Here is an 18370-nt window from a genome sequence, read left to right as displayed (position 1 = left end):
AACATGGTGAAACCCCATCTCTACTAAATATACAAAAAAAAAATTAGCCGGGCATGGTGGCACGCACCTGTAGACCCAGCTACTTGGAAGACTGAGGCAAGAGAATCAATTGAACCTGGGAGGTGGAGGTTGCAGTGAGCCAAGATCACACCACTGCACTCCAGCCTGGGCAACAAAGCGAGACTCCATCTCAAGGTAAAAAAAAAACAGGAGCACACACAGCAACTTGGATGGATCTCAATGGCATTACCCTGAGTAAAAAAGCTATTCTAGCTAGGTGTGGTAGCTCATGCCTGTAATCCCAACACTTTGGGAGGCTGAGGCAGGGGGATGGCTTGAGCCAAGAAATTTGAGACCAGCCTGGGCAACATAGTGAGACAACATCTCTAAAAAAAATTAAAAGTATTCAGAAGTATTTGGATTTAAGAAAAGAAAGAAAGAAAAAATATTAGCTGGGCATGGTGGTGCAAGCCTGTAGTCCCAGCTACTCAGGAGGCTGTGGCAGGAGGATTGCTTGAGCCAGAAAGTTGGAGGCTGCAGTGAGCTGTGATCATGCTGCTGCACTCCAGCCTGGGAGACAGAGCGAGACTCTGTCTCAAGAAAAAAAAAGAAAAAAGCCATTCTGAAAATATCACACATTGTGTGTTTTCATTTACATAACTTCATGGAAAAGACCAAATCATACGGAACAGATGAGTGCATGCTAGGCCACAGGTCGGGTGGGGGGCAGGGGGCAGGTGTGACTACAGAGGGGCAATTGGGGAGGTCTTGTGGCAATGGGGTAGCTCTGCATCTTGATTGCCACAGTAGCTACACAATTCTATACGGGTGAGAAAATAGCATGGCATTATACACACGTCGTACCAATGTCAATTTCCTGGTTTTGATATTATACTATTATGTAAGCTGTACCACTGGGGGGAGACTAGCTGAGGGTGCCCAGAGCTCCCTGTATTGTTTTTGGAACTTTCTCTAAATCTATAATTATTTCAAAATAAGATTTTTTTTCTTTGACACAGAGTCTCACTCCGTTGCCCAGGCTGGAGTGCAGTGTCGCAGGCTTGACTCACTGCAACCTCCGCCTCCCAGGTTCAAGCGATTCTCCTGTTTCAGCCTCCCAAGTAGCCAGGATTACAGGCATGCACCACCACGCCCGGCCAAGAATTTTCTTTAAAAGAAGAAGAGGCTGGACATGGTGGTTCATACCTTTAATCCCAGCACTTTGGGAGGCTGAGGCAGGAGGATCACTTAAGGTCGGGAGTTTGAGACCAGCCTGGGCAACATAGTGAGATGCCATCTCTTTAAAAAATTAAAATAAATATTATAAATAAAGAGGAAGAAAAAATACTTCAATCCAATAATTATATATCCAGCAAAAATATCCTTTAAGAATACATGTAAAGTAGGCCAAGTGCAGTGGCTCAAGCCTGTAATCCCAGCTCTTTGGGAGGCTGAGGCGGGCGGATCACCTGAGGTCAGGAGTTCGAGACCAGCCTGGCCCACATAATGAAACCCTGTCTCTAGTAAAAATACAAAAAATTACCAGGGAGTGGTGGCGGACACCTGTAATCCCAGCTACTCGGGAGGCTGAGGCAGGAGAATCGCTTGAACCTGAGAGGCAGAGGTTGCAGTGAGCCGAGATCACACCACTGGACTCCAGCCTGAGGGACAGAGCAAGACTCTGTCTCAAAAAAAAAAAAAAAAAAAAAAAAAAAAAAAAATCTTCAGGAAGAGCATTGGAAATGACAAATACCTGGGTAAAAAGAAAAGGTCATTTTTTTCTCTTAATTTCTGTAACATAGATAGGATTATCTAAAGCAGGAATTATATACACGACAACGGTGGTGTGAGGGACACATGGGAGCAGCCGATGGGTCTGTGCTGTTGCAGGCTCCCACATTTGATGCAAAGTGGTCCCATGTTAACTCTAAGTTAACTGTGGAAGCTTAGGGGTATGTCTTACAATCATTTAAGCAATCGTTAAATAATAATAATAATAATGCAAAGAGGGTAGGAAAGGAGATACAGAGATACCAAATGCGGACTTGCACTTTATTTATTTATTTATTTAAGACAGGGTCTCACTGTGTCACCCAGGCAGTGGGGCATTCCCAACTCTCCGCAACCTCCACCTCCTGGGTTCAAGCAATCCTCCCTCCTCAGCCTCCTGAGTAGCTGGGATTACAGGCGTGCACCACCACACCCGGCTAATTTTTGTATTTTTAGCAGAGATGGGGTTTCACCATGTTAACCAGTGTGGTCTCGAACTCCTGACCTCAAGTGATCCTCAGCCTCCCAAAGTGCTGGGATTACAGGCATGAGCCACCTCACTTACATACAGAAACACAGATAGACTGAGAGTGAACGGATGGAAAGAGACACACAAGCAAACTGCAAGCCCAGGGGGCCGGCATTTTGATTCAATAGGATACCAACGGAAGCTGTGTCCCAGATCTTCTCAAGACCAGCTCCCTGACTTCACTCACACCTCTGTTCCTGTGCCACCTCCCGGGGCAGGACTTCGGTGAAGCAGGGGTGAGGCAGGAGGGGCAGAGAGTAGGTGCTGGGGGCCCCCCTCCCACCAGGCTGGGTCTTCCTCACACCTTTCCACAGGCCCTGGAATCCAGGACTCGGTCTGACAAGTATGCAGTAAGGACTTGCCAGATTGTCTTGGGTCTTTGGTGGTTTACTGGGTCCACAGACTGTAATTCCCTGTGTGTGCCAGCTCCCGGCCAGAGCCTGGCTAGGGGTGGGGAGGGATTCCGGCCATATGTGTGGAGTTCACGCAGTCAACAAAATTATTTCCTGAGCGTCCACTGCATGCCGCGCCTAGACCAGGCCCTGGGGACGCATCAGTGAACAGAGCAGAACCAGACCCTGGCCTCAAGGAGCTGACACTCAGGTGACGGGTCTGGGTGGGAGTAGGTGGGGGACAAGACAGGAAGCAGAACAGAACACAGAAAGTAAATCATCACGTTTGCTGGCGGGAGCCTGGTGCCCACGGAAAAAGGCGGGGGGCCAGTAAGGGGCGGGAGTGCGGCGCGGAGCTGGGCTTGCTCCGGGTACACTTATGCAAAAGGTGGCCTCTGTGCCAACATTCCAAGGAGGGGCACTCTTCCTGGGGCAAGAAAGGGGATTCCAGAGGGTGCCAGTCACAGCATGGGGGCGTTCCTGGGCCATCCAGTTTCAGGGGAGGGTGAGCGAATCTCAACCATGCACCTGCTACTCAGGTGCTCAAAGGCCAGCCCTAGGCTCTGTCCCTCGACTGCAGAAGTGCAGGTGACCTGCCAGGTGATCCTCGGGTTCCGGAGCCCTCCCGCTTGGCCAGGAGGCTGAGGTCCAAGTTTGGCGGGATTCACATTTGTCCCCAAACACACTCCTTGATAGTTTTCTTTCTTTCTCTCTCTTTCTTTCTTCCTTCTTTCTTTCTTTTTTTCTTTCTCTTCTTTTCTTTCCTCCCTTTCTCCTTCCTTCCTTGCTTCCTCCTCTTTCTTTCTTTCTTTTTTTTTAGACAGAGTCTCGTGCTGTCTCCCAGGCCGGAGTGGAGTGGTGCAATCACAGCTCACTGCAGCCTCTACCTACCAGGCTCAGGCAATCCTCGTACCTCAGCCTCCCGAGTAGCTGGGACGACAGGTGCACACCACCATGCCCAGCTCATTTTTGCATTTTTACTTTTCCTAGAAACAGGCTTTCACTGTGCAGCCCAGGCTGGTCTCAAACTCCAGGGCTGAAGTGATCCTCCTGCTCCAGCCTCCCAAAGGGCTGGGATTACAGGTGTGAGCCACCACACCCAGTCTCCTTGATTGTTTCTGATGAACCCCCAGTCCTGCCCAGCCCTCTGATGCGTCCAAACCCAGGTGTCCCCTCCAGTCTGGCTATGCAACCACCCTCATCCGGTCCAAACCCTTCCTCACTTGGTAACAGGCCTCTTTCCTTCCAGAAGCTCCTCCCACCACCTCTCCAGCTCCAGCTTCTCCCTTGGCCCCCTCTGGCTGGTATTAGCGAACTCCATTAAGGGACAGGTATTTGATATTCCAAATAAAATCTCCACAACCCCCATGAACCATCTTAACTGCTGAAATGCCCACAGGACTTGGGATTAGAAGCTCCGCAGCACACGGGAAATGAGGGGATTTTATTTAGTGTTTAGGATTTATACATGTATATGTTGGTGGGGGGAAGATGTATTTAAATCAAGTAACTTAATCCACAGAGTGCAAGGCTAAAACCACCATAGGAAAAGGGTATTTGCATATATTAATCTCTTAACATCCAAAAAGGGGGACTGTGTGGGAGAAAACAGAGAAATCGCCAGGTGGTGTTTGTTTTTGGGTCTCACCTGCTCAGTGCCGGCCTCACCCGCCCAGCGCCCCTGACACACCTGGCTGGAAAGGGATTCACAAGGGCAGGGGCCAGTGTCTCTTTCAACCCTCAATCGCCCAGGGCCTGGTGCTTTCTGTTGAATGAACAAATGAATGCATGGATATGTGGCAGTAAGAATGACTCTCTCAATGCAAACGGGGTTTAGATGACACAGCCCTCTGACCTCTTCTTTCAACAGATCCAGAGGGGCCCTGGGGCCCAGGCCCTGCCTAGGCACTGGGGTCGGCGCAACACAGATAAGGACTCAGCGTGCAGGAGCCTCTACCCTGGCTCAGGGGGAAGCAAACACGAGCTGAGAGACTCATGGAGAGCCCATGTCCACAGAACGTTCACAAAGGCCTCCTGGAGAAGGCAGAGCAAGAGAGGGATGCAGCGGAGGGGAGAGGGAGTTCTGTTGGCCAGCGCAGCCCAGGCCAAAGCCTGTAAGGAGGGAAAGGGCTTGGAGTATTTGCGGGTGACCACAGGGCTGGGGTAAGGCAGAAGCGAGCGTCTCGGGCAGGAGCCAGTTTATGGGGCCTTGGGAGCCTGGGGGAGTTTGAATGTTATTCCAGCACATGTGAGGGACAGTGATGACAATTTGGGAACATAGAGCCACCTTTCTGGAGCAAGGGTGGCCACTTCCCCAGCCAGGTGATGAACTTAAAATATGTGAGCCCACCCTCACCCCCACCTCTGTGCAGAGCGCAGCCCATGCCTCATCACACACACACACACACACACACACACACACACACACACACACACACACAGAGCAGCCCCGACAGCAGGCCTGCAGCCTGGAAGGCAGGTCTCAGGAGGCCAGGAGGGTAGTTTCCCCTGCCCGGCAGCTCCCTGGGGTGAGTCAGAAACCAGGGCAACCAGCAGAGATGCCACGGGCACCTCGGACACAGGGCCAGGTTCCCCCAGGGAAAGCAGGACCGTAACCTGTTCCCAATCACCTCCAACCCCAGCGTATCTCAGTCGTTAGCACTTTGTGGGGCCTTGGGGTGTCTGAATTCATTCAGCCCCCTCTTTAGAGATGGCAAAATTGAGGGCCAGAGAAAGTGATTTTTCCAAAGTCACAGATCTGAGAAACGGTAGGGGCTGGATTCGAACTCCTGCCGCATCTACCTGCCCAGTCTGTGCCGCTCACCAGTACCCAGCCCCTCCCTGCCCCATCTGGAATTTAAATTCAGTAGAGCCTCGTTCATTCAAAGCCTCCTTAATTCAGAATTCCTGAGCAGGGGAGTTCTCCTGTGCACCAAACGTGGATGGGAACCTGGGGTCTACTGAATAAATGAACTGCATAACCAAGATTGATGACAGGGTGGCTGGCTCAAAAACTTCAGGGGCGCACACGAGTGTCCACACGGTACATGCGCCGTTCTCAAAGAACCTTCTTTAAAGCAGCCTCGGAGGCCCTGGTCCACGCCATGGGGGAGGTGCTGGGGCCAGCAGCACCCGAGCTGACTGGAGAGAGCCCGGTGTCCGGTTCCCAGCTGTGCGACCCGAGGCCAGGTCTGCCCCTCTCTGAATCTCGGTGAGAATGCCTTCCCCGTGGAGCTGTTGTGTATGAGAACAGTGTGAGGCCGGGTACACAGTTGGTGCTCAGTAAGTCACAGCTGTTTTACAATAATTAAAAAGCATCTCTTGGATCAAACAGCCTGCATCTCAGTCTTCTTCTAATTTGCATTGGTCTTCGCAGAAATTAAGGTGCACTCTGTTCCCGACGATTCCATCTGGCTGGGCTGAGGTGGAGTCCCCTCGATTCCCCAGTGAGGGCTGGGAACCCATCACTCGCTCCAGCAACAGGTATTTATTTATCCAGCGTGTGCTTCATGTCAGGTTCCCTGCTGAGGGCCAGGCACGCATACAGCAGTGGCCTAGACAGACAAGGTCCCCGCCCTCAGCAGCTCTCGGCCTAGCTATTGAGCTTGCCTGACAAGGGGCAAAGAGGGTAGGAGGAGGTGGAGTTGTCAGATTAAATTCAAGATGCTGAGTGTCATTTGAATTTGAGATAATAAAAAAAAATGTTTACTATGTGTATTCCATTCCATATTTGGGATACATTTATACTCACAAGTTATTTGGTACTTATCTGACATTCATATTTAACTGAGTGTGCTTTATTTTATTTTATTTTATTTTATTTTATTTTATTTTATTTTATTTTATTTTATTTTATTATTTTTGGGATACAGTCTCACTCTTTCGCCCAGGCTAGAGTGCGGTGGCGCGATCTCAGCTCACTACAACCTCTGCCTCCCGGGTTCAAGCGATTCTCCTGCCTCAGCCTCCTGAGTAGCTGGGATTACAGGCACATGCCACCATGCCTGGCTAATTTTTGTATTTTTAGTAGAGATGGGGTTTCGCCATGTTGGCCAGGTTAGTCTCGAACTCCTGACCTCAGGGGATCCGCCCACCTCGGCCTCCCAAAGTGTTGGGATTACAGGCCTGAGCCACCGCGCCCAGTCTTTCTTTTATTTTTATTTCTAGATCTTCCAGTGTTTATCCAGCACCTTCTGCAGGAGTCCTTCTACTGAACCACCAGACCCTGTGGGCTCAGGGACAAACACAGGAACAAGCCCACAGGATAATCACACAGGGTGGTCCTGGGAGGGCCTTTGACAAGGTGACTTTGAGCTCAGACCTGATGTGTGTAGAGGAAGAAAAAAGGCATCACTCCATGAGAGAGAAGGAGAGGGATAGGAGACCCGGGTGAGGCAAGGCAGAGAGCTAGTGGCTGCAAAAGAGACAACACTGACCAGGAGGGGAGGGAATGGAGGGCTTTGTGGAGGAGGTAGAATTGAGCCAGGCCCTGAAGGAGGAGCTGGACAGAGAGGAGGTGGTGCAGAGGAACCCTGATTTGGGAGGAGGTAAGCCAGGTGGTAGGCCCCTGAGATACCCATTCTCCAGACACCATCTCTTACAAGGGCCTTTGGTACCCGAGAAAATGCACATGATAAACTGTCAAGCGAAAAATACAAGATACGAAACAGACAGCAGCTGTGGCGTTGCGAGGGGTTGAACTAGACCATCCGACCTAGCATGTAGTAGGCGCTCAATAAACAGGAGATCGATGGAATCATGCTTTTCCGATTTGCAGACAAATGGGGGGATCAGAGGCACCGCCAAGGTGTTCTTCCTTGTTTTGTGGGTATTTTACTAAATGAAACAATGAACGAATTGCTTGAATAGACGTGAGGTTACCGTGACTCCATCCAGAAACCACTTGGTCCAGACTTTGAAGGCAATAAAACAGCAGGAAAAGACAGGCCCTGCCTCCCGGTCCCTGACAGGCGCCGTCACTCTTGAGCCTGTGGTAGGGAGTGCATTTTCAAGTCGCCCGCTGCCTCCCGAGCCTGCCTGCCGGGTCTGCAAGCCTCCAGCCAAGCAGGAGGGATCAGCTCTGCAGCTTCCGACACCCCAGCCCATGTCCTCTCAGCCCACTGGGCCCAAGGCGGGTGTAAAATCCTGGCTCACCAAGCAGAGACTCTGGGAAGAGGCCCAGTGGCCTCCCAGACAGACCAGAGGTCCTGCTCACTGGTGTCCTCCTGTGCGTCCTTGGCAAGTGGCTTCCCCTCTCTGAGCCTTGGTATCCTTGTCTATAAAATGGGGATGGGCATGGGCGTGGTGGCTCACGCCTGTAATCCCAACACTTTGGGAGGCCGAGGCAGGCGGATCACCTGAGGTCAGGAGTTCAAGACCAGTCTGGCCAACGTGGTGAAACCCCGTCTGTACTAAACACACACAAAAATTAGCCAGGCGTGGTGATGGGTGCCTGTAATCCCAGCTACTCAGGAGGTTGAGGCAGGAGAATCACTTGAACCGGGGAGGCGGAGGTTGTAGTGAGCTGAGATTGTGCCACCGCACTCCAGCCTGGGCAACAACAGAGCGAGACTCTGTCTCAAAAAATAAAAATAAAAAATAAAACAGGGATGGATTCTAGTGACGTCATCCTTCATTCATTCACAAAGGTTTGGAGAGAATCTGTTCCCTGCTGGGTGCCACGCTGGGAGTGTGAGGCTCCAGAGGGAAGTTCTTGGACCCCTGGCTGATGCTTTCACATGATCACAGGGGCACATTCTGTAAGATAAATACACAGGGGGTTGTGGCGAGCCCTCAGTGCCTGGAAAGGAAGAGAAAATACAAGGCCTCTTGCATTACTACCTGTGAGCAGAGGGTACCTGGCTCCCAGGTCCCTCCTGATGAAAAGGACCCCAACCTAGACAGACGTCTGTCATGCTTAGAAGGCCCTTCTCAGTCCCTCCAGCTTCTAAGACATTTTATTACTAATAATCACATGCAGGTGATGTTTAACGAGCACTCGCCATGCGTCAGCCTCTGCGCTTCAAGGGGTCCACGTGCACAGACCGTGGCTGGCCCTGCAACTCCAGGTGCAGCAGACACAGCCTCTCTCAGCCCAGCCAGAACCAGGTGCTGGCGACTCCTGGGACCTCTTCCAAGGGGAGGTGGGTTTGGGACACAGGCTGGAGACCAGAGCGGGCCAGGCCCCTTCCCACCATGTCCCCACCCCATAAGACCACCAGTGCCCCTCAGGATACCCAGCCCTGTCCCTTCCCTTTACAGAAAGAGAAGGTGAGTCCCCTAAAGGAGACTCGTGCTCCAGTGCTCTTCCTGAACTCCTCCGGCCACCCTCAGGCCACCCCCTGCCCTCAGACCACCCCCTTCCCTCTTCTCTGCAGTTACCCATCCTGATGCCCACCTGCCAAGCCCAGCAAAGGCCCTCCACAGTCAGCCCAAGATGCTGCCAGACCCAGGACCCGGGGCAGGTGTGCACGGAGCAGGTGTGGATGTGGAGGAAGAGGTGCCCAAAGCTCTGCTCTGAGGCCAGACCTGAGACCTGGGTGCCCAGAGCCTCTCTAGGTCCACCCAGGGGTGCTGGGCCCATGGGAGCAAAGGCTGAGTACTGCGGCCTCCCACCACCCCCCTGCCCCACCTCCACCCTGAAGTGTCCTGTTTAGCGGAATATCAGGTGTCATTGTGTGCCCTGGGGTGCTGACGGGGAGGGGATCACCTGGCCACAGGAGACCCCTGAAGCCTGGGGGAGGGGTCTGCTTCAGCTCCAGTGAGGGCGGGATTCCTGGGGTGAACTCGTGACCTTAAGCATGACCTTGAGCATGACCTTAAGCATGACCTTGAGCGTGACTTTGAGTTGTTGCTCCTTTCAACGCCACACGCACGCCTGATTCCTGGGCCCTTTTCTCTCCCCCAGTCCCTTCCTGCCACACACACTCCTATTTCTCCACATCTTTCCCCTCTAAATGACGGGGTAACCAGAAGTGACACCACAGCCGCTGGACCCCTCACGGCGCGAACATGAAACTGGGCAGGTCTGGGTTTGGCCACCCGTTCCCTGACTTGCTGGCTGTGTGGCCTTATGCAGGTCACTTGCCCTCTCTGAGCCTCAGCTTTCTCGCCTGTAAAGTGAGGGGCACGTGAGCTCCCGCCTTGCAGGGCTGTGTGTGTTGCGGGTGGTCTTGGAAGCCGCACTCAGTGTGGACAGGCAGCAGTGCTCCCATGCAGGTGCCACGTCAATATCATCACGTGGTTCCTGTTTAGGTCCTGCTCATTCCTCCAAGGGCCGAGGCAGCTCCGGGGGAATGGGGAGGGCGTGGCCTCTGCCCTGGTCCTAGCCGGGTCTGCGGCTGCTGGTGTCCACCTGTGGTTCTCAAAGGGTGGTCCTCCTGGCCAGCAGCATTGGCCTTGCCCAGGAACTTGTCAGAAATTCAGATTCTCTGGCCTGGCCAGTCCTGGGAATCAGAACCCCTGGGATGCAACCAGCCACCTGTGCTTTCACGAGGCCCCAGGGGCCTCTCGCAGGCACTGGTGTGAACCAGGAGATCCTGGAGGGTGGCGGCCCATCTTGTGCCCCCTACCCTCACTCCCATCACAGGGTCTGGTCCTCCCATTTCTCCAGTCACTCTGCACTAAACGCTGGACAATGGCCCCTAAGTACAGGCCCTCGTCTGCTAGTTAACAACTGGGGGGCCCAGGTTCTCCAAATGTGGTCCCCAGAGTACCCACACCAGACCACGAGGGAGCCTGACAAAATGCAAGCCCCTGAGTGCCCCCTAGACCGGCTGGGCATGGCTCCCCAAGAATTTGCTCTGGGGACACCCACAAGTCCCAGAACAGGGGGAGGAAAATGAAGGGCACAGGAAAAGCCGGGCCCTGGGGAGGAGATGGAGGAAAAGGGAAGTCAGACAAGATTCCCCAGTGCCAGTGACGGGCACCACTGCCTCCCCAGAGCCACCACAAGCCAGCCGCCCCTTGGCAGCAGGGGTCTGGGAGCCCTTGGCAGTTCAACCCTGTACGGACACCGTTTGAGGGGCTAGAAATAAGCCAGGATGAAATGTTATGAAATAATAATAATAGTCCCTTCTCTGGCCCACTGCAGAACCCTAGAAAGTAAGGGACTGGGGCCAACGGCAGCTGCAGTCAAGGTGCCTGCAGCTATGTGACCCCAGGGCCTAGCCCGCCCCTGCCTCCCGCCCTTCACTTAATTCCAAATACCTTTTCTCTTGTCAGCCGCAAGTCAGTGGGCTTCAAAGTCAGGCGGTGGCTCCCGTGACCCTTTGTGGGGAGGGCAGGGGTGGGCCCAGCTTCTGTGTGTTCTGCTCAGTGGGCCAGGAGGCCCCAGGCCTGCAACGAGAGGGAGGGAGGGAGCTCGGCCTGCCGGTCATTGCTCCGCACCTAGGCCCTTGCAGCTTGGAACGGACCAGCAGCCGGGAACAGCTGGTCCGATCCCACCGCCCTGCTAGGGAGGCTGCCCAAGGTACCCGGAGAGCCTTGGACTGGGGAGCTCAGGGCTGGATGAGCCAGAGCTCCAGGAGAGGAAGGCTGCGCTCACCTGAACTAAAAGTCGTGTTACAATCATACCTGCAGGTGTCAACCTCACTTTCGTTGCAGAGAGGAGGGTCTGGAATCACATGCTCCTCCAGGCAGCATTTTACAGAAAGCTGCCCTGACAGCCACGACGTACTCCCCCACTTCTACCTCTATCTCGGATTCTGTTGCAGAATGTGGCGAGGTATCACAGGGCTGCCAGCCACGGACAGGTTTGAGGGGACCGGAGTAGGGGGTTGCAGGGACGAGCTGGCAGGATCCAAATCCCTCCCGTCAGATGTGTCTCCACCCACAGCTTCCTTTTCCATTGGAGCAAACATAACAAAACAAGTGTCAACTACACTTCCTGATTCCTGAGTTACGAAAAGCCAGTGCCACCCACAGGTCCGTCCACCCCCTCCTCTTGACCCGGCCCTTCCAGTGGCACCTTATTCTGTTATTTGCTCTCTATTTTTCTTTAAAAGCATTCACTGCTATTACTTAGGTAAATGCATCCATAAGGGAACTTTATGTGACTACTGTTAGGTGGAAAAAAAACTAAGATCATGGGCCATAAATAGAAGGTAAAAGTAAAAATAAATTACAATTAAAATAAGCAATGTTAGGAAATTCTAGCTGGCTATTGTTGCCTGCCGATGGCATTTTGATAGAAAAGCGTTGGGGAGTTGCAAGCTTCCCCTCCAGGGGACCAGAGGGCTGAGACAGAGAAGGGAATCACCTTTGTGTGGTATGAGGCTGTGTGATCCCTGACGTCACTGTCTCCTAGGTCACCGAGGGTGCCCACCCCACACTGGGGAAACACTGACCTGAGGGGCACCCCTAAGCCAGTGAACCAGGGGACAGGGCTCCTTGCGAGGCAAGGACCAGATGGCATTTAACGCTGATAGGCACTATCATGACCTCCTGGGCATGAAACAGGTACCTCCCTGGTCCTTTTTCCAGAAGAGGTTGCAGAAGCCCTCTGGACAGGCCTGGCTCATGTCCTCCTGCTGGAGCGGGCTGACATAGCCCTCAGCCCTCCACTCCCAGCGTGGCCCGTCCGCTCTCCACAGATGTGCCACGCTTTCTCTAGGGTCCCCGCCCTGGGATTCCCTCCCGACCTGGCACATCTCAGTCAACCCCACCTGCCTTCCAGGTCCCCTCCGCCAGCCCTCGGCGGCCTCTCTGGGGCAGGACAGCATCCTCCTGAGGACCATGATGTCTGTAGTACTGTTCTGCCATCCGGAACTTCTCGTAAGTGGGACCCCACTGACCACCCTCTCGATTTCTAAGTGAAGCCAGAGAGTTGGATCACAATTATCCCCTGTGCCAATAATTTCCTTTATGAGAAATGCAGTTGTAAGTCTTAGAAAGGGACATGTGAATTAAAACAGGCAGTCACGCAGAACAAGGGGGAGGGAACGCATGAGGGTGCCAGGAGGTCCCCAAATTGTCCTCCAGGTGGAGACCAGCTGGGATGGCGGTGACGTCTCACCTGCACCAGGACTGGCAGCTCTGTCACATCCCCACAACACAGGGCCCTGGCAGGCCTCACTCTGCACTGGCTGGCTGTATCTGGGGCACAGACACACGGGCTGGTGGCGTATGTCACAGGTGGCAAATGTGTCACTTGGCCTCAAGACTCCCTGCATGCAGTGGAGACAGTGAGGCCTCTGTCCACACAGGCCCCAGCTGGGCCATGACCCGCTCTTGAGGCCCATCCCTTACCCTGACCTCACAGCTTCCCTGGTTGCCTTCCAGGGTCAGCAGAGCAGCCTGGATGCACTCAGAAGCCCCGGGGGACTCAGGCCACTCTCCCTGAGACCCAAGAGCATCCCCCTGCAGCTTGTGATGAGCCCTGGGTAGGGAAAAGGTGACACAAGGGGGCTCATAGCCACCACCAGGTCCAGCTGGGCCAGGGCACTCATCCCAGTCTATGGGGAGAGTCCACCTTGGCTCCAGCTGGCAGGATGAATTAGGAAATGAGAGCCAGCCCTTTGCAGCCTAGAGCAGTGGCTCAGGCAGGGCCTGGCCAGGGGCTGTGGGCAGGAGTGTCTGAGGCTGGAGGAGCAGCCCCCAGGCATCCCATCGCACTCCCTCAGGGCATCCGAGGAATCCCACCTTGACTCCTCTCGGTCTTAGCTCCAAAGCCACGTCCAAGCAGGTGAAACAGGAAGCCCCCTCCCCAAGGGGCTTTCTAGGGCAGAATGCCTGAAAGATCAGGGCAATCACCACAAACACAGATGGAAATCGGAAAGCCGGCTCCTAAAACATCTCAGGGCTCCACGCTAACACGGAGACAGGAGAGGACCACGGGTGGGGCAGGGGTTTTAATGCTGCCCAGATCTGGGTGCAAGTCTCAGTGCCACCCCGTGCCAGCCATGTGGCTTTCAGCAAGTGACTTCCCTTCTGTGAGCCTGTTTCTGCATCTGCCAAATAGGCCTGATGATAGCACTGACCAAGCACAGGCTTTCTGTGAATTTTCATACATTTGTATGGAGGGTGCACAATACCTGGGATGTATAGATGAAATTTGTATAGGTGGTCGCAGTTATTACTATTATTATTATTATTTACAGACAGGATCTTGCTCTGTCACCCAAGCTGGAGGGCAGTGGCACCATCACAGCTCACTGCAGCCTCAACCTCCTGGGTTCAAGTGATCCTCCCATCTCAGCCTCCCAAAGTGTCGGGATTACAGGCATGAGCCACCGTGCCCAGTTTGCAATGATCATTACTGAATATCACGTACATACGTGTATTGGCAGGTGTTAAACGTGTAAGATACTTTTAAGTAAAGAAACTTAAAACAGACTATTTCTATGAGTTAGTTTAATTTAGTCTATAGATGAGAAGATATATACACAGTTCTGTTTCATTTCAGCTCCTGGAACAAGGGCCTGTCTGCCCACTCTTATAAGACAGATGTATCTCTCCATCCTGGCACCGCCCAGCCACCACCCCCTCCCAGGCCATGGGCCCTGCTGCATCCCCCCGTGGCCCTAACCAGGGACCTTTCTTCTTTGTTTTCTTTTCTTTTATTTATTTATTTTTTAACACAGAGTCTCCCTTTGTCGCCCAGGCTGGAGTGCAGTGGCACGATCTCGGCTCACTGCAACCTCTGCCTCCCGGGTTCAAGTGATTCTCCTGCCTCAGCCTCCTGAGTAGCTGGGATTACAGGCGCCCGCCATCACACCCGGCTAATTTTTGTATTTTTAGTAGAGACGGGGTTTCACTATGTTGGCCAGGCTGGTCTGGAACTCCTGACCTCAGGTGATCCACCCACCTTGGCCTCCCAAAGTGCTGGGATTACAGGCATGAGCCACCGCGCCCGGCCTGTTTTCTCATTTGTGAAGATGCAGGGCTGCTGTGAGGACTGGGTGAGAGGCGCACCTGGCACGTAGCAGGTTCTCACTGGGCGAGTTGCCCCCAAGCCCCAGCGACAAGCCCAGCCAAGGCCCCCGCTCCCCGCCTGGGGAGGTCAAAGGGGCAGGTGGGAAATTGAAACCCGAGATGAATGGCCATTCTGCAGCTGGAGTCCAGAAAGATTCTGGGCATGGGAGCATCACTGGAAAAGGAAATGTGGGGCCCTTGCCCAGGGGAGGGACCGGGGGGGGGGTTCTAGATCCAGCTCTGCCCCCACCCAGGTCACCTCGCTGGCTACAAATGACGACCCCAAGTGGTGCAATGTAGATGTCCAAAGTGAGAAGCAAGGCTTGTGCAAGGCTGTGTGGGGGTTACCTGGGGGTTTGATCTCGGTACCATGAGTGACTCCCAGAATGAGACAATGTCTGCCCCTTCTGCAGGGCAGATGTGAGGAGCCTGAGGGACCTGCTCCCAGGCCACCAGCTCTTTGTGCAAATCTTGGTTTTCTGGTGCTTGGTTGGCTGGAAGAAGAGTGTGGCTGGATTGGGGGCGTGGTCTCTGCTCCCTCAGCCCCACCCACCAGGTGGGGGAAATGGAGGAGAGGGACCCACAGGAGGGTGGTCAGGGCAGCTAGAAGAGATTTGCTCAGGTACCACAGACCCTTGGTCCCTGGAGCACCCCTCTCTGCTAGGAGAGTTGGCAACCAGAACCAACAGTTTTCAAGGCTGCACACCTGGTGGAGGTTGTTGCGGGGGTTGGCCAGGTGCAGGCCCAGGCAGGCAGGGAAGCGCGGAGGCTGGGCTGGGCTGGGTTCCAAGGCAGGGCGGAGCCTCCCAGGGAAGCCGCAGTCACCCATCCGTCACTTATTCATCCATCAAATATGTACCGATGCATGGCCTGGGTGCCGAGACACCCACGACCAGACAGACACAGCCCTGCCTTCCTGGGGCCTGTGATGGGGTCAGCCACGTAGGTCAGTCAGGCCTGGTGGGCAGCAGCTAGGACTTTGCATCTTCCTCTCCGCAAGCCCCTGGGGGGTTCTGAGCCGGCAAGAGATGGGATTTGACTTGCATTTTAAAAGGGTCTTTTAGCTTCTGTGTGGAGAAGGGTGGAGCTGGGAGACTGTGGGGAACTGCGGCATTCTTATGGGGGAGCGGGGATGGCCCAGCCCTGGGTCCCAGGCACCCTGGAAAGGGGCCGGGGGCCAAATGTGTGAGGTTTTTGTTTCATTTTGTTTTTTTTCTGAGACGGAGTCTCGGAGTCTCGCTCTGTCACCCAGGCTGGAGTGCACTGACGGCGATCTCCACTCACTGCAACCTCCGCCTCCCAGGTTCAAGCGATTCTCCTGCCTCAGCCTCCCGAGTAGTTGGAATTACAAGCATGCACCTCCACACCCAGCTAATTTTTGTATTTTTAGGAGAGACAGGGTTTGTTTTTTTTTTTCTTTGAGACGGAGTCTCACTCTGTCGCCCAGGCTGGAGTGCAGTGGCGCGATCTCAGCTCACCGCAAGCTCTGCCTCCCCAGTTCACGCCATTCTCCTGCCTCAGCTTCCCCAGTAGCTGGGACTACAGGCACCTGCCACCATGCCCGGCTAATTTTTTGTATTTTTAGTAGAGATGGGGTTTCACTGTGTTAGTCAGGATGGTGTCAATCTCCTGACCTCATAATCTGCCCGCCTCGGCCTCCCAAAGTGCTGGGATTACAGGCATGAGCCACCGCGCCTGGCCTAGTAGAGACAGAGTTTCACCATACTGGCCAGACTGGTCTCGAACTGACCTCAGATGATCCACCTTCCTTGGCCTCCCAAGGGGTTAGGATTACAGGCTTGAGCCACCATACCGGGCCTCAAGTGTGTTTTAAAGTGAGAGCTCAGACGATCGCTGGTCTAGCTATGATTGTGCCACTGTACCCCAGCCTGGGTGACAGAGTGAAACCCTGTCTCAAAAAAAAAAAAAAAAGGCAACCCATCACGTGGATGTAATGGAGAGGTGGGGGTCAAGGGCTGCTCCAAGAGCTTTGACCTGAGGAAGCAGAGCACGCAATTTCCATTTGCTGTGGGAGGAGCAGGTTTCAAGCTTATCAGTGGAGGAGATGGGGTTTGGGAAACATTAAGTTTGAGGATCGAGGAACCCGTCCTTTGGGAGTGCAGGCCTAGAGGTCAGGGGAGGGGCCGGACTTCGGGGAGGAACCTGGGACCCAGCGCCTGGGATGGAAGAGCTCTCCCAGTAAGAGGGCGGGCAGGCAGTTTACACAGGACAGGAGGAGCAAATGAGAGGCAGGGAGGCAAAGTGGGAGGCAAAGCCATGTCCTGGGGCCAGGAGAAGGGTGTGTTGACAGACAGAAGGAGTGAGCGGCCATGTCTGAGGCTGCTGGCAGGTGGAGGACTGTGATGGTCAATGCTGACCTTGGCAAGAGCTGTTTGGGTGGAATGGCAGGGCTGGGAGCCCAACTTTGGTGGGCCTGGGGGATGATGGGGGCCGGGGGAGGAGCGGAGAGACAGCACAGAGACCACCCTTCCAAGGGAATATGCTGGAAGGGGATCGGATAAGCACGGCGGAAGCTAAAGGGGATTGTGGGGTCAGAGGGTGGCTTCTTACAATCTGGGGGCATTCCTGCATGTTTGTGGCATGCTGATGGGGCTGACCCAGGAGAGGAAACAGCTGGTGACGCAGGAGAGATGGGGCCATGTGAAGGGAAGCCAGGGGAAGGTGGAGAGGAAGCGAGGTGCACGGGGCCCGGGCAGGGAAGGACCTGACGGGCATGAGAGGAGGGACAGCTGATGGGCATGAAAGGAGGGGCAGCTGCCCAGGGGGACACCCAGGGAGGCTGGTGAGTGCAGGGCCAGGAATGCCTCTGATTGCCTCTGCGTTTTCAATGAAGCTCATGCCTGTAATCCCAACATTCTGGGAGGCCAAGGCAGGAGGATGTCTTGAGCTCAGGAGTTTGAGGCCAGCCTGTGCAACATAGTGAGACCCTGTCTCTACAAAAAAGAAAAAGAAAAAAAAGCTAGCCAGGCGTGGTGATGTGTACCTGTAGCCCCAGCTACTCAAGAAGGATGAGGAGGGAGGATCACTTTAGCCCAGAAGTTTGAGGCTGCAGTGAATCGTGATCACACCACTGTACTCCAGCCTCAGCAACATAGCAAGATCCTGCCTCAAAAAAAAAAAAAAGCAACCTATCATCCGACAGTGAGAATGAGGGCTGAGGGAGGGTGGGGTATTGGAGGTTTGGGGAGAGAGAGAAGTTGTGGTCTGGGAGACGGGGGCTGCAAGCTGACCGAGGAACACAGAGGATTGCTGGACAGCACAAATGTTTGTTGGAGGTCAAGGTCATGAGATATAAAGCTGTTTGTGCCATCAGGTGGCTTTGTCCAGGGCTCCGCTGCTTGGATGTCAGAGCACACTGAGCAGCACCCAGAACTCAACCGGGACAGGGGTTCTGCCAGGTGGATGGAGGAGGGGGAGGGCAGGGTGACTGAGGGCGTCTGCAGCAGACAATGAGCCTGGAACCCAAGGAAGCAGAGGACACGGGAGGTGAAGGAAAAGGAATGTGCCCTGGGGGCAGATGGCAAGAGGCAAAGAAAGATCAGAGTTAAGGTTGCAGAGGGAATGTGTGGAAAGACAAGAGGCAGTGCTCCAAGATGGGATGCTTCAGGCGGAAATGGCAGATGGGAGGGTGTTACTGACCAAGTCAGGACCCAGGGTGTATCATGGACGTGGCTGTTGACGTAGGGGCTGACAAGGGGGTGGGGGGAAGGGCGAAGAAGATTTCAGAACAGATGTAGGGGCTCCC

General features: G+C 54.1%; 1 long non-coding RNA gene across 1 annotated transcript, besides 5 other annotated features; it reads right to left on the bottom strand.

The window, feature by feature from the left end:
* Positions 5381-6363: an enhancer, noted in NCBI's record as "H3K4me1 hESC enhancer chr9:132049874-132050856 (GRCh37/hg19 assembly coordinates)". NCBI's record gives its function as "activates a minimal SCP1, AML or CMV promoter by ChIP-STARR-seq in naive H9 embryonic stem cells {active_cell/tissue: H9 hESC(naive)}" and the evidence as "EXISTENCE:reporter gene assay evidence [ECO:0000049][PMID:30033119]".
* Positions 7305-8278: an enhancer, noted in NCBI's record as "H3K4me1 hESC enhancer chr9:132047959-132048932 (GRCh37/hg19 assembly coordinates)". NCBI's record gives its function as "activates a minimal SCP1, AML or CMV promoter by ChIP-STARR-seq in primed H9 embryonic stem cells {active_cell/tissue: H9 hESC(primed)}" and the evidence as "EXISTENCE:reporter gene assay evidence [ECO:0000049][PMID:30033119]".
* On the bottom strand, positions 8239-11542 carry LINC02975 (long intergenic non-protein coding RNA 2975). The gene is made up of 3 exons (NR_121587.1): positions 11266-11542; positions 10900-11028; positions 8239-8448 (listed from the first exon to the last, which is right to left on the bottom strand). It is a non-coding gene; the product is annotated as a long intergenic non-protein coding RNA 2975 (long non-coding RNA).
* Positions 8279-9252: an enhancer, noted in NCBI's record as "H3K4me1 hESC enhancer chr9:132046985-132047958 (GRCh37/hg19 assembly coordinates)". NCBI's record gives its function as "activates a minimal SCP1, AML or CMV promoter by ChIP-STARR-seq in primed H9 embryonic stem cells {active_cell/tissue: H9 hESC(primed)}" and the evidence as "EXISTENCE:reporter gene assay evidence [ECO:0000049][PMID:30033119]".
* Positions 15110-16018: an enhancer, noted in NCBI's record as "H3K4me1 hESC enhancer chr9:132040219-132041127 (GRCh37/hg19 assembly coordinates)". NCBI's record gives its function as "activates a minimal SCP1, AML or CMV promoter by ChIP-STARR-seq in naive H9 embryonic stem cells {active_cell/tissue: H9 hESC(naive)}" and the evidence as "EXISTENCE:reporter gene assay evidence [ECO:0000049][PMID:30033119]".
* Positions 16019-16927: an enhancer, noted in NCBI's record as "H3K4me1 hESC enhancer chr9:132039310-132040218 (GRCh37/hg19 assembly coordinates)". NCBI's record gives its function as "activates a minimal SCP1, AML or CMV promoter by ChIP-STARR-seq in primed H9 embryonic stem cells {active_cell/tissue: H9 hESC(primed)}" and the evidence as "EXISTENCE:reporter gene assay evidence [ECO:0000049][PMID:30033119]".

Source organism: Homo sapiens, chromosome 9 (genome assembly GCF_000001405.40).
Source record: "Homo sapiens chromosome 9, GRCh38.p14 Primary Assembly".
In the NCBI taxonomy this organism is placed as follows: domain Eukaryota; kingdom Metazoa; phylum Chordata; class Mammalia; order Primates; family Hominidae; genus Homo; species Homo sapiens.
The sequence above is the reverse complement of the archived record's forward strand: the minus strand, read 5'-3'. Positions and strand labels throughout refer to the sequence as shown.